This window comes from Homo sapiens, chromosome 13, assembly GCF_000001405.40.
Source record: "Homo sapiens chromosome 13, GRCh38.p14 Primary Assembly".
In the NCBI taxonomy this organism is placed as follows: domain Eukaryota; kingdom Metazoa; phylum Chordata; class Mammalia; order Primates; family Hominidae; genus Homo; species Homo sapiens.
In genome coordinates this window covers 30,441,334-30,455,835 of record NC_000013.11, presented here as the reverse complement: position 1 = coordinate 30,455,835, position 14,502 = coordinate 30,441,334, and the positions used below count along the sequence as shown (strand labels likewise).

Here is a 14,502-nt window from a genome sequence, read left to right as displayed (position 1 = left end):
GCTACTTGGGAGGCTGAGGCAGGAGAATGGTGTGAACCTGGTAGGCGGAGCTTGCAGTGAGCCGAGATCGCGCCACTGCACTCCAGCCTGGGTGACAGCGAGACTCCAACTCAAAAAAAAAAAAAAAAAAAGTGAAATTAAGCTTAGTTCCTTAGCGTTACATAGAATCTCTCATTAGAGGCTTTACCGTATTTTGTTTGTTAGCTTTTGCTTTTTGGGTTTTTTTCTCCTTTTCACAGGTGTTGACTGTACCCTGGTTTTGTTTATTGGGTTTCAATTAGAGCTTATTTTATAAAGTGATCTGAACATAACCAAGTAAGAGAATAAAAAACCCTAAAATAAAATAAGGATCTGTTGAGTGTGAGAGAGTGCTCCTAAAGATAAAGAAAAACAAGATGCTCAGTTGCCACAGCCTCAGGTGCCACTGTAATCCCTGGAAGAGATGAAGAGTAAGAACTTGGAGGCTACTCAAAGCAAAGATATTGCAGCTCCCCCACCCCTACACCCCAAGCCCCATTTCCCCAGGCCTTGCTCTGCCACCTGGAATCAGCCTGGCTGGGGCTTGGGCACAGGGAATGGGGCTAGGCACACTTAGGCTCAGAAGCAGAGAGGCTGACCAGAGAGCCTGTTTTCAGGGAGGGACAGAATAAGGCATAGCACTAGTGTAAGGTCCTAGCACATTACAGGCGAAGGGGGTCTAAGGGCTACCGTAGTCTAATCTGTGCATTTTTACAGAGTAGTGGACAGAGGCCCATAGGGATTCAGAGGCTTGCTCAAGGACAAATGGCAGTATCAAAACACTCTAGCAGCACCAGGCTCACAGTAGGTGCAAAAAAGATGTGAGCTCTTTCCCCTTCCCTTAAGGACAGCAACAAAAAGGCTGGAAAACTTCCTCATTGCCCCTCACTTCCAGGCCTGGGTTCTTCTGCTTTGGCTACAATTTTTGCTATGCTAGGATAGCCAGTACATTCTGCCATCACTGAGGTTCTTCTCTGGCTTTCTCCTTTGATTTACTTGGACAGAACATTTCTGAACTGAACCAAACCAAACCAAACAAAAATACTCCCAGTCATGTAGAAAGTTATAGGCTATCTGATTCTAAAGGGCTGGTAATCACTAATATAATAGATGCTGCTTAGGACTGTAGCCTGATCTTCTGGAAGTAGAAGCAAGATGCAATATGCTACACACGACAATAACTTTTGAAAAATCGGTTGCCCTTATTATGAATGAAACTTACATTATTGAAACAAAATAAATAAGAAAACAAAAACCTGTAATTCTACCAGTCAGCAAGACTATTACCATATTATGTGCCCTTCCAGTTTCTATATATAACATGTAATATATATAGATATATAGATATAGATAGATTTTAAAAATTGAGGTGAGACTCATATAACATAAAATTAACCTTTTTTTTTTTTTTTTTTTTGAGACGGAGTCTCGCTCTGTCACCCAGGCTGGAGTGCAGTGGCGCGATCTCGGCTCACTGCAAGTTCCGCCATCCGGGTTCACGCCATTCTCCTGCCTCAGTCTCCCGAGTAGCTGGGACTACAGGTGCCCGCCACTGCGCCCAGCTAATTTCTTGTATTTTTAGTAGAGACGGGGTTTCACTGTGGTCTCGATCTCCTGACCTCGTGATCCGCCTGCCTCGGCCTTCCAAAGTGCTGGGATTACAAGCCTGAGCCATCGCTCCCAGCCCATTCATTCGTTTTTAAGGCTGAATAATATTCTATTGTGTGTATATACCATAATTCCTTATTCATTCATCCAGTGATAAGGTCTTAGGCTGTTTCCACCTTGTGGCTATTGTGAATAATGCTGCTATGAATGTGCGTGTACATGTATTTGTTTGAGTTCTTGTTTTCAATACTTTGGGTATATATCTAGGAGTGGAATTGTCGGGTCATATGGTAATTTTATGACTAGCTTTTTAAGGAACTGCCAAACTGTTCTCCACAGCAGCTGCACCACTTCACATTCCCACCAATGATGTATGAGGGTTTCAATTTCTCTACAACCTTGCCAGCACTTCCTATTTTCTATTTTTTAAAATTATAGCCATCCTAGTAGGTGTGAAGTGGAATCGCATTGTGATTTGATTTGTGTCTCCCTAATGACTGATGATACTGAGTGTCTTTTCATGTGTTTATTGGCCATTTGTATGCTTTGGAGAACTAATTCAAGTTCTTCACCCATATTTAAATTGAGTTGTCTTTTTGTAGTGTTGTGTGCATATAGATATACATACATATATATGTTTTAAAAAATGTTAATAATTTAAAAATACTGCATTTGTAAGCTGCTTTTTCTACTTCACAGTCTATCTTGAACAAAAGTCTATGTCAGCTGGGCACAGTGGCACACACCTATAATCCCAGTACTTTGGGAGGCCAAGGCAGGCGCATCACTTCAGGCCAGGAGTTTGAGACCAGCCTGGCCAACATGGTGAAAGCTTGTCTTTACTATAAATACAAAAATTAGCCAGGTATGGTGGCATGCGCCTATAGTGCCAGCTACTCAGGTGACTGAAGCACAAGAATCGCTTGAACCTGGGAGGCGGAGGTTGCAGTGAACTGAGATGGTGCCACTACACTTCAGCGTGGGCAACAGAGTGAGATCCTGTCTTTAAAAAAATTTAAAAAGTCGGCCGGATGCGGTGGCTCACACCTGTAATCCCAGCACTTTGGGAGGCTGAAGCGGGTGGATCACCTGAGGTCAGGAGTTCGAGACCAGCCTGGCCAACATGGTGAAACCCCGTCTCTACTAAAATACAAAAATAAACTGGGCATGGTGGTGGGTGCTTGTAATCCCAGCTACTTGGGAGCCTGAGGCAGGAGAATTGCTTGAACCCAGGAGTCGGAGGTTGCTGTGAGCCGAGGTCGCACCATTGCACTCTAGTCTGGGCAACAAGAGTAAAACTCCATCTCAAAATAAATAAATAAATAAATATAAATATTAAAAAAGTCTATGTCATCATATATTCTTATTCTGCTGGGCATTATTTTAAGTGCCTGAATGTAAAATACCATAAATTATTCAATCAATTCCATATTATTAGACATTTAGTTTATGATTTTTTACTGTTACATATAAGGTTAACATGACTATCCTTTCTTTATGCTCACACCTTTGCCCATAATTATTTTCTTAGGATATAAATATATTCCTCAAAGGGAAATCACTGAATCAAAAGATGAGCCAAATTTGGTGAATTTTACCAAGCTACCTTTGGAAAGTTTTCACCCAAATGTAACAACTTTTTAAAAGGCTATTCAGACAATTTTACATAGAAGGGATACAAAATAGGGTCATGGTTTCTAAGATTTTATAAAGGTTCAAGCCTACAACAGTGGGGGGAATCGTGAAAGGAGTAAACCTTCAAAAGCAAGCAGATAAAAAGCCTGAAAAACTTGGAAAACCATTGGATTGAAATGTCCATTCCTCTTTATACTTCTGTTACCTTACTACTTTTCAGGTTGGAGATTAACAGAAAGAGCTTTTATATTCAAGTAATTGCAGAACTGCAAAAAGTGAATGCCTAGATCAATTGGAATTGGTAGAAAAACTGAAAATTTTGCACGAGCATTAGAGCTTTTTTGCTTTTTACTTCATTGTGTCACTGTACTTTGTAAAAACCTACATAATCTCCAAAATTTACTAATTAGTAACTGTATCAGATTTTTTTTCTTTAAATAAGGTTAAATAACAACATTTTCACATACTGTTTTAAAACCAAGACGTAGATCAACATTCTTTCAGGCATTTAACAGTGGCCAATAGGCCAACATGAAACTGAATTAATTATGTATAATTTATCCTCTAGACAATCCCATAGGAATCTTTTTCATACATTGATGAGTAATGGATTTTACCCTACATAGGTCACTGAAAAGCAGTGTAAATTTCATGGCTTTTTTGTGTTTGTTTGTTTTTTTTCTGAGATGGAGTCTTGCTCTGTCGCCCAGGCTGGAGTGCAGTGGCACAATCTCAGCTCACCGCAACCTCCGCCTCCTAGGTTCAAGCGATTCTCCTGTCTCAGCCTCCTGAGTAGCTGGGATTACAGGTGCCTGCACCATTCCTGGCTAATTTTTGTATTTTTTAGTAGATACGGGGTTTCACCATGTTGCCAGGCTAGTCTCAACCTCCTGACCTCAAGTGATCCGCCCGCCTCGGCCTCCCGGAGTGCTGGGATTATGGGCGTGAGCCACCATGCCTGGCCTCATGTTTCTTTTAAGCACTTAACTTTTAGAAGGCAGCATTGCAAACTTTCACGTCTGAATTTATATATATTGAGCTTCTATAGATAATTACAGTGTACCTTTAGAAATAATATTGATTTTGGCCAGGCGCAGTGGCTCACACCTGTAATCCCAGCACTTGGGGAGGCCAAGGCAGGCGGATCACGAGGTCAGGAGATCGAGACCATCCTGCCCAACATGGTGAAATCCCCGTCTCTACTAAAAATATAAAAATTAGCTCGGCATGGTGGCATGCACCTGTAGTCCCAGCTACTCGGGAGGCTTAGGCAGGAGAATCGCTTGAACCCGGGAGGCAGAGGTTGCAGTGAGCCAAGATCACACCACTACATTCCAGCCTGGGCGAAAGAGTGAAACTCTGTCTCAAAAATAAATAAATAAATAAATAAAAATATAAAACTTGGGAGTTTTTAAAAAAATTGTTAAGGTCCTAAAGGTTTTTAAATAACTGTACTTAAGAATCAACTGACCCAGGCCAGTCTCTACTAAAAAATCAAAATAATATTGATTTTGGCAGGGCGCGGTGGCTCACGCCTGTAATCCCAGCACTTTGGGAGGCCGAGGCAGGCAGATCACTTGAGGCCAGGTGTCTGAGACCAGCCTGGCCAATGTGATGAAACCCTGTCTCTACTAAAAATACTAAAATTTAGCAGTGCATGGTGGTGCATGCGTGTGATCCCAGCTGCTTGGGAGGCTGAGGCAGGAGAATTGCTTGAACCCAGGAGGCAGAGGTTGCAGAGAGCTGATATCATGCCACTGTACGCTAGCCTGGGCAAAAGAGCAAGACTCCGTCTGAAAAAAAAAACAAAAAACAAAAAACAGAGATGCCATTTTTTTCTTTATTGTTTTTTGCTACATCTTCATTTTCAGGCCAAATCTAATTTGTTCTTACCTCTAGGTCTTAGTAGGCTATTAATAACAATTCTTAAAATCTCACTAAGAAATCATCAAAATATTTCCATTTTATTTTATTATGAATATCTTTTTTTCTATGTTATTTATTCATTTTTTTTTTTATGAGACAGAGTCTTGCTCTGTCACCCAGGCTGGAGTGCAGTGGCACAATCATGGCTCACTACAGTCTAAACTTCCTGGGTTCAAGCAGTCCTCCTACCTCAGCCTCTCAAGTAGGTTAGGACTACAGGCATGCACCACCATGCCTAATTTTTTTAAAATTATTTTTTGTAGAGACAGAGTCTTGCTATGTTGTCCAGGCTGGTCTTGAATTCCTGGCCTCAAGCAATCCTCCCTCCTTGGCCTCCCAAGGCGTAATTCCACCCTCACACCATTTTTTTTCCAGAGATGGGCTGTCCCGCTGCTAAATGAGCTATGTTGTGATTTCACAGCAACAGACTTACAAGGAATAGCTTCTACTGTCAGATATCCAAAGGAATTCCTAAAATTTATTCTCCACCCAAGGGCCCTGGAACCTGGGTCTCCATAGTTTTTGTTTGTTTGTTTGTTTTTGAGATGGAGTTTCACTCTTGTTGCCCAGGCTGGAGTGCAATGGTGCGATCTTGGCTCACTGCAACCTCCGCCTCCCAGGTTCAAGCATTTCTCCTGCCTCAGCCTCCTGAGTAGCTAGGATTACAGGCACCCGCCACCACGCCCGGCTACTTTTTTTTTTTTGTATTCTTAGTAGAGACGGGATTTTACCATGTTGGTCAGGCTGGTCTTGAACTCCTGACATTAGGCAATCCACCCACCTCGGACTCCCAAAGTGCTGGGATTACAGGCGTGAGCCACCGCTCCCGGCCTCCATAGTTTCTTTTCTCTTTAATTCCAGGAAAGACAGCAGTTAGGTGAGTAATGGAAATTATCAGATGAAAATAATAATCTTGTCATCTAATCTAGATTCCTTTCTGTGACCCAATTTTAGCTATTATAAGAACCAGAATAAAACCCATCTGCCATCACTTCAGAAAGTGCCAGGGAAAAAGTCTAAGGAAGGCTTTTATTATTTATTTATTTATTTATTTATTCTTCTTTTTTGAGACAAAGTCTCACTCTATCGCCCAGGCTGGAGTGCAATGACTCAATCATGGCTCACTATAGCCTCAACCCTCTGAGTTCAAGTGATCCTCCCTCCTCGGCCTCTTGAGTAGTGGGACTACAGGTGCACACCACCACGCCCAGCTAATTGCTGATTTTTTGTAGAGACAGGCTCTCTCCATGTTGCCCGGGCTGGTCTCAAACTCCTGGGATCAAGTGATCCTCCCATCTCAGCCTCCCAAAGGCCTGGGATTACAGGCATGAGCCACTGCACCCGGCCCTGAGGAAGATTTTTAAACAATAAACTAGCAAGAGGCCCAGTGAGGTGGCTCACACCTGTAATCAATCTCAGCATTTTGGAAGGCCAAGTTGGGAGGCTTGCTCCAGCCCAGGAGTTCAAGGTTGCAGTGAGCTATGATCATGCCACTGCACTCCAGCTTGGGTGATATAGCAAGACCATGACTCTGAAAGAAAGAAAAAAAAAAGATAATAAATTAGCAAGATATATAGTCATGATAAAGCTGTTTAAAATTATGTTTGCAAGCTAAGTTTACATAGGAAAGAAACATTTGCTGCCTGGTAGAAGAAGTCTCTTCATTTTTAAAAAAGAGATTTTAAAAGAAATTTTATTCATCAAAATGTAGCTGCTACAAGAACTATGATATTGTACCATTCGGTATATGGTCCTCTTACTAGCTTAAAACTTGATGGCATGACTTCGAAAGTGTAAAAATGGTAAAACAAAAACAGGGCAAATGCTCAGCTGTCTTTTCTTTCAGAGAAACTCCAAGGCATGAAGGAAACCCTCAGGTAACAAGTTTGTCCCCTTCATCTGTAAATTCTGCGATGAGGTGACCGACCCATTTCTCCTTTGCTTTCAGGTAGGCTCTGCTGATCCCCTCTCCTCTGTCATTGCCCATGGCTCAGCCTGACTCAATCCTTTCTCAGTGGCCACAGCCAATGCAACTGGGTGCCTGGGCCACCCAGAAGAGTGCAATAGGAAGCTGGTCAGCTCCGGCCACCTTTAGGGTCTGTGCACATCACCCAGGCCTGTCCAATGAGGCCAATAGCTATGGCAGCCGTTTTTTGTTTTTTTTTTTTTCTTTCCTGGATTTTTTCTCTTTTAGTCTCCAAAGATCTGTAGGCAACGGTGTTGGATTCCAGTTCCCTATCTCTAGGCATGTTGCATTCAAACCAAAGGCCTTGTGCAGAAGATTTCTATTTTCCACTTTCTATTAAGACAGCAAGGAGGGGCCGGGTGCAGTGGCTCACACCTGTAATCCCAGCACTTTGGGAAGCTGAGGCAGGCAGATCACCTGAGGTCAGGAGTTCGAGACCAGCCTGACTAACATGGTGAAACCCCATCTCTACTGAAAATACAAAAAATTAGCCGGGCGTGGTGGCGTATGCCTGTAATCCCAGCTACTCAGGAGGCTGGGGCAGGAGAATCACTTGAACCTGGGAGGCAGAGGTTGCAGTGAGCTGAGATCGTGCCATCACACTCCAGCCTGGGTGACAAGAGCAAAACTCCATCTCCCACAACACCTCCAGCATAAAAACAAAACAAAACAAACAAAAAACAAAAACAAAAAAACAAGGTAGTGGGAAGGAAGTCAAAACACAACTCAAATTGCATAATTGTGCCTTTGTTCAAGTGATGTGGTAACATTTATTTTTCTAGTAAGATTGTCAGTTCCAGAAGGGCCAGAACTCCTGTCTTTTGACTGTTCTATCACCTGTGTAGGTGCTCATAAATAAGTGCTTCTTGAGTGAACTCGTCTTCTACTCTGTGACAAATCACAAATTCTAACATGTTGGCTCTAATAGCAAACAAGATACAAGTCATCTCCAAAAACCTAGGTTGGCATATAGCCTGCTACCCAGTTGCCTAGAGGGATTTGGTATAATGCTAGCAAGAAATGGTGATATTTCATTACAATTACAGAAGAAAACATTATGAACTCAGATCTTGGAAAGAACGGACACTAATATGCCCAATGAATATAATTTTCACAGTATGTCCAGGTGTGGATGTCTGTATTAGAAACAATTGTCACTTTTGCTGAGTGTGGTGGTGTGTGTCTATAGTCCCAGCTACTTGGGAGGCTGAGGCAGAAGGATTGCTTAAGCCCAGGAGTTCCAGGATGTAGTGCACAATGACTGTGCCTGTGAATAGCCACTGTACTCCATCCTCGGCAACACAGTGAGACCCCATCTCTAAAAAAAGAAAAGAAATGAAATGACTGTCACTTTTGACAAGCTTTTAAACTTTCAACTAATTTTCTTCTTAAAATATTTAGGTTTAGAGAACACTTGCTTTCAGAGTGAAGTCCTTCAGTTCCATTAACACATAAATTTCATTAATGTCATGAAATCGTCCTTATAAAGGTCTGAATTCTTTCTAAATACAACAGACTACATTGGATCTGTCTGAAAGTCAAATGTGTTGAATTGAACTGAGTCTCAAACTTATCTTAACCACGTTACAGGTGAAAATCTTCTAAATGATTATGCTTGTTACACTATTGTAACTTTCTAGTTACCCTATAATTTTACTTTCTTTTTTTTTTTTCCTTTTTTTCTTTTTGAGACAGAGTTTCACTCTTGTGGCCCAGGCTGAGTGCAATGGTGCAGTCTCGGCTCACTGCAACCTCCGCCTCCTGGGTTCAAGCGATTCTCCTGCCTCAGCCTCCCGAGTAGCTGGGATTACAGGTGCCCGCCACCATGCCTGGCTAATTTTTGTATTTTTAGTAGAGACGGGGCTTCACCATGTTGGCCAGGCTGGTCTCGAACTCCTGACCTCAGGTGATCCGCCCGCCTCGGCCTCCCAAAGTGCTGGGATTACAGGCATGAGCCACTGCGCCCAGCCCCTAATTTTACTTTCTTTAAATGACATGAAATTACATTAAATAGTGACAAGTGGCAGACATCATCAAAAGAAACAGTGAAGACCATTAATATTTTGTCAGACTCTATGCAGTGGGTTGGAAAATACATAAACCCAGGGAGGATGAATTTCTTTACCCTCAAATAGATCCAATTCCTTCCCGTAGGTCGAAGACAACATCTCCAAAGGTAAAAATGAGAAACCCAACAACTACTTGATTGATGAGTAGGCAGCCTGCTAGTAGGGGACTCCTTCACTCATTTACAAATGAGCTGGGCATTGTACTCGGCCCTGCAGATGCAGAGGTAAACAAAACAGACCCATTGCCTCCCTCACAAAGTTTCTAGGAGCTTAGATTTTCACGGAGAAGACAAAACAATGAACAAGCACACACATACCTAAGACAGATCATTTCAGGTGCTGCGCAGGCCCACAAAGATAACACAACAGGGTAATGTGACAGGGGTGAGTTCGAGAGTCTGGAAAGGCCTTTCCAAGGAGAGAATAAGAGTAAGTTCGTTCCCTTTCAAACTGTATTCGTCATTCTGCCTGCTGACTCTATTTCGGTTGGCTTGGTCGAGGACTGGTGGCTGATTAATGTTCAATGACCCACGGGGACAGCCCAGGCCGACAGTTCCTCAAGACCCTGCAGGTCAACGTTTCGCAACTTCCCAAGCCTCTCCCTGCTCCAGAACGAGCCTGACTCCGCTCCCAGTTTTTCCGGTAATCTCCTCACCGCTCCGCTGCTGCATTTTACGCACGCCCTCCAGGGAGCGGTCCTCGGCGTCCAGCTCTCAGGATGTGGAGAGCTGCAAATAGCACCGACAGCTGCAGCTGGAGGTAGCCGCCCGGGAAGCCAGCCAGCTGCTGCCACCACAGGGGCCAGGGCCGGCCGCGGGCCTCCGCACGCCCTTGTGAGCAGCTCAGCGGAACCCTCGACGAGGCGGGCCGACTCGCCAGTGCAAATTACGGCTTTTATTTCCTTCTGGGTGCACACGTGGGGAGGGAGGGAGCTTGGGGAAGGAGAGTGTGCGCCCTTCAACGTTTGCCACTTCTCTTCAAAACTGCCTGGGAAGTAGGTCGGCACCAATAGTCACCTCATTTGCACAAACAGGGACACTGAGGTGAAGGAAGTGACTGCACCGCCTGAACAGAGCCGAGTGACAGGGAAGCAGGAATCCATCCAGTCTCTGTGCTCCTGGAGCCTGGCCTTTTCCTTCCGGTTTTCTTAGTGCTTTTACAGTATCTCCTGACCATTTCCCCCCTGCTACGTGCAGAAGACTCACCTTCTCTGGCCACACTCCTCAACGAGAAAATATGAGGATTACTTACAGAGCCCCACTGGAAATTTGTCTTTAAAGAAGGAAGCCTAGGCCGGGTGTCGTGGCTCACGCCTGTAATCCCAGCACTTTGGGAGGCCGAGGTGGGCAGATCTCCTGAGGTCAGGAATTCGAGACCAGCCTGGCCAACAAGGTGAAACTCTGTCTCTACTAAAAATACAAAAATTAGCTGGGTGTGGTGATGCACACCTGTAATCCCAGTTACTCGGGAGGCTGAGACAGGAGAATCACTTGAACTGGTGGGGCGGAGGTTGCAGTGAGCCGAGATATCGCCCCACTGCACTCAAGCCTGGGGGACAGAGGGAGACTGTCTCAAAAAAAAAAAAAAAAAAGGGCCGGGCGCGGTGGCTCACGCCTGTAATCCCAGCACTTTGGGAGGCCGAGGCGGGCAGATCACTTGAGCTCAGGAGTTCAAGACCAGCCTGGCCAATATGGTGAAACCCCCTCTCTACTAAAAATAAAAAATTAGCTGGGCGTGGAGGCAGGCGCCTGTAATCCCAGCTACTTGGGAGGCTAAGACAGAGTGGGACTCTGTCAAAAAAAAAAAAAAAAAGATTCAGACATGAGACCGTGAAACTGACTACAGTCACTATTGCACTGTTTATAGATGTTGCCAGACAGAAAGCCCCAAAGCAGCAGCAGCATAGTACCTTCCTAACACTTGGATTGGGAAATCTAGATTTTAGTAAAATAACTGGTGATACTTACAGAAGAAATGTTGGAGTTAGAGTATGCCATCAAAAAAAAAAAAGGAATCCTAGCCTGAAAGGTATTTAAAAATGCATTCCCTTGCCCTGCCACACACAGCGGGGAACAGGGATGGGGCCCCAGTCCGTGTGCAAACCCAGGCACACCTTCCCCAAAGGGAAGTGGAAAGGTGACAGGAGGGAAGCTGAAGCAAGGATGTCTTGTTCTTCCTGACGGTGTCCCGCATTTGCTGAGTGGGTGCACTCTTGCATGGGTGTAAGTTCTGCAGGACACAGGCGGCTCTCCAGGCAGCACTGACGGGGCTGATGCTTGGCACTTTGGGGCCTATTCTTCCACGAGGACATGGATTCGCTTCCTTGGGGTTCAGCCTGGTGTGGAAAGGAGTACCGGACCCGCTCAACGCCGCAGAAACTGGGACCCTGAGCACACACCCTAGGTCCAGTCTCCTATGGGAAATGGCCTGACAGGGTATGGGACAGAGCGGCCACTGCTTCCTCTGAGCGAGACAAACTTCTCTCCTGAGGCTATAGGGCTGAATGAAGAAAGTAGACTGCTGAGGTAGGCCCCATTCCCCTGATGATCAGGCAGGGTCCCGGGGGAGCTTCTCAGGGCAGTTTTAGCTCCTCTCTCAGCTTTTAATGCAAAAAAGAGAGACAAAACCTGATTGAGAAATGAGCGTAGAGCAGCAGAGCTGTACACAGGAAACTGGTGCAAATGACCGTGACATTGTAGTGTATTTTCATCTTTCTTCTTTTCATTTTTGTTCTGCAACAAAAAATTGTAATGTTTATAGTTTAAATGTTAAGAATTTAGCTGGTGGGCCAGATGCAATGGTTCACACCTATCATCCCAGAACCTTGGGAGGCTGAGGTGGGAGGATTGCTTGAGGCTAGGAGTTTGAGACCAGCCTGGGCAACAAAGTCAGATCTCCATCTCTACAAAAATTTTTTTGAAAAATAGCTGGGCATGATGGTGCACGCCTGTAGTCCCAGCTACTCAGGAGGCTGAGGTTGGAGGATCGTTTGAGCTCAGAAGTTCGAGGTTGCAGTGAGCTATGATCAGGCCACTGCACTCCAGCCTGGGCAACAGAGCAAGACTGTCAAAACAACAACAACAAAATAATTCAGCTGGTATTCAGTAACACATGATACTTAAGTGGTCTGCCTAAAAAAATAAAATAAAATAAAAATACAACCTTTTTAAACAAACAACCCATACAGGTTGACAGGTCAACACTGAAGACTATGAAATCACAAGATTTGCAGTGAATGAGAAGCACAATTATATTCTTCTTCTTTTTCAGTTAAATTTGAAACACGCTTCAGCAAATATGTATGTGTCTTCCAGGTGGATGTTGCATTTCAGGTTTCCTTTCTGTTGCCTACAGTGCTTTAAGTCTGCTAGAAATTCCCTTGAGAGAGAAGGAGATGTTAATGCAGAATATTAAGTCCTCTGCCTATCACATCCATAAAGCCACGCCTACCTCTCTCCCAGGGGCATGAGAAATTGCTTTCGCGTGCTATTTGGAGAGGCCTTGGCGTCCAGAAACAAAGAAAACCAAGAAACAAAGAAAAGTGATACAAACCAATGCCCTCAAGACATAAGATAAGGAAGTACAAAGACCTAAAGAAGCACTGAGTTTTAAGTCACTGGTTTTAAAAAATAATTCAAGTTAAAGCTTTGGAGTCACTGCATTTGTGACGACTCTCACTTGACCACTTGCTAGTATGGGTATCCTTGGGCAAGTACCCAGCCTCCTGTGCCTCAATTTCTCCATTTGTCAAATGGGCACAACAATCCTACTGACTTTATAAGGTTTCACTGGTATGTGTGAGAATTTAATAAAATAATCCATGGAAAATGCCTGCCATTATGCTTGGCATTTGGTGACAGCTTAATAAATCGTTAGCTATTGCTTTCTTTTCTTTTTCTTTTTTTTTTTTTTTTTTTTTTTGAGATGGGATCTCGCCATGTTGCCCAGGCTGGTCTTGAATTCCTGATCTCAAGGAATTTCTTGAATTCTGAACATTGGAATCATCCAGGGGATTGATGCCTGGGTTCACCCAATGGATTCTGATTGACTTGGTCTGGGTGTGGCTTGGGCTTTGGAAGTTTTAAAAGCATTCCTGGGGATTCTTAATGCTCAGCCAAGTTTGGAAACTAATGCTTTTTGGTGTCACCCTAACCAAAAAGGCAAAGCAGATGTTTATAGTTTAGATCAAATTAAGGCAGTATGTATTTTGAGCTAATAATTTGACTCACTTTACTGCATTAACCACTCAAATTAGCCAAACAACTATTTTTTTCACTGAATTTATAAGTTTTGGCTGATTTGACTAATAAATTAAGCAAAAAGTTTGATTCCTTAAAATCATATGGCCACAAGCTCAAGTAAATTAAATTCATTGGGAACCAGCTATGATTGTAGGTATTTTGAACCATTATGATACATTAGGTATGCATTATTTATTTTATTTTTATTTTTATTTTCATTTTTGAGATGGAGTCTCTCTCTATTGCCCAGGCTGGAGTGCAATGGCGCGATCTCAGCTTACTGCAACCTCTGCCTCCCAGGTTCAAGTGATTCTCACTGCCTTAGCTTCCTGAGTAGCTGGGATTACAGACACGCACCACCACGCCTGGCTAATTTTTGTATTTTTAGTAGAGATGGGGTTTCACCATGTTGGCCAGGCTGGTCTCCTGACCTCGTGATCCGCCCACCTCAGCCTCCCAAAGTGCTGGGATTACAGGTGTGAGCCACCACGCCTGGCCTTAGGTAATGGATATTCCATTAACATGCTGATAGTTTTAGATTTATTTGATCAGTTCATCCAGTACAAACTTGATTCTTCAAACTAATATAGCTACAGTCTAAAGGAAATTGAATTTGTTGGGGACCACCTAGGCTTTTCAGTGTAATTTAGAATATAAATTACTATAGGAATACGCATTATTTTATTCCTGCACATTTGCCAACAAAGTGGATGTTAAATCAAAATGCTATTGTTGGAATGAAACTGATGCTGCCTTGTCCTTTGATCTCATTCTGGGGACTTTTGAAGGTGTGTAGGCTGCTATTGGATTTGTACAGCACTATTGGTTTATTACTAACCACCTCTTTTAAAAATTAATGAGCCTGTTGGTTAACTTAGTGCTTCAGGTCACACTGATCCATCAGATGAATCACAAGTGAGGTAGCACTCTCAGGCTCTATCAACTTCCTGCCAACATTTTCCGTTAGAGGCATGAAATGCTAGATTAGAAAAAGGCCCTGGCCCTTGTTGCCCAGAGTTCTGCATCTGGCCACGGACCT

General features: G+C 43.6%; 1 long non-coding RNA gene across 1 annotated transcript, besides 3 other annotated features; it reads right to left on the bottom strand.

Annotated features, from left to right (window-relative positions):
- Nucleotides 1-6,862: 6,862 nt before the first annotated feature.
- LOC107984577 (uncharacterized) lies at nt 6,863-10,091 on the bottom strand. The gene is made up of 2 exons (XR_001749803.2): nt 9,540-10,091; nt 6,863-8,471 (listed from the first exon to the last, which is right to left on the bottom strand). It is a non-coding gene; the product is annotated as an uncharacterized LOC107984577 (long non-coding RNA).
- Nucleotides 9,319-10,204: an enhancer, noted in NCBI's record as "NANOG-H3K27ac-H3K4me1 hESC enhancer chr13:31019769-31020654 (GRCh37/hg19 assembly coordinates)". NCBI's record gives its function as "activates a minimal SCP1, AML or CMV promoter by ChIP-STARR-seq in naive and primed H9 embryonic stem cells {active_cell/tissue: H9 hESC(naive and primed)}" and the evidence as "EXISTENCE:reporter gene assay evidence [ECO:0000049][PMID:30033119]".
- Nucleotides 9,730-9,909: an enhancer, noted in NCBI's record as "active region_7535". NCBI's record gives its function as "activates an Ori minimal core promoter by ATAC-STARR-seq in GM12878 lymphoblastoid cells {active_cell/tissue: GM12878}" and the evidence as "EXISTENCE:reporter gene assay evidence [ECO:0000049][PMID:35858748]".
- Nucleotides 10,671-10,862: a silencer, noted in NCBI's record as "fragment chr13:31019111-31019302 (GRCh37/hg19 assembly coordinates)". NCBI's record gives its function as "represses an EF-1alpha promoter that drives an FKBP-Casp9 reporter gene in an ReSE screen in K562 erythroleukemia cells {active_cell/tissue: K562}" and the evidence as "EXISTENCE:reporter gene assay evidence [ECO:0000049][PMID:32094911]".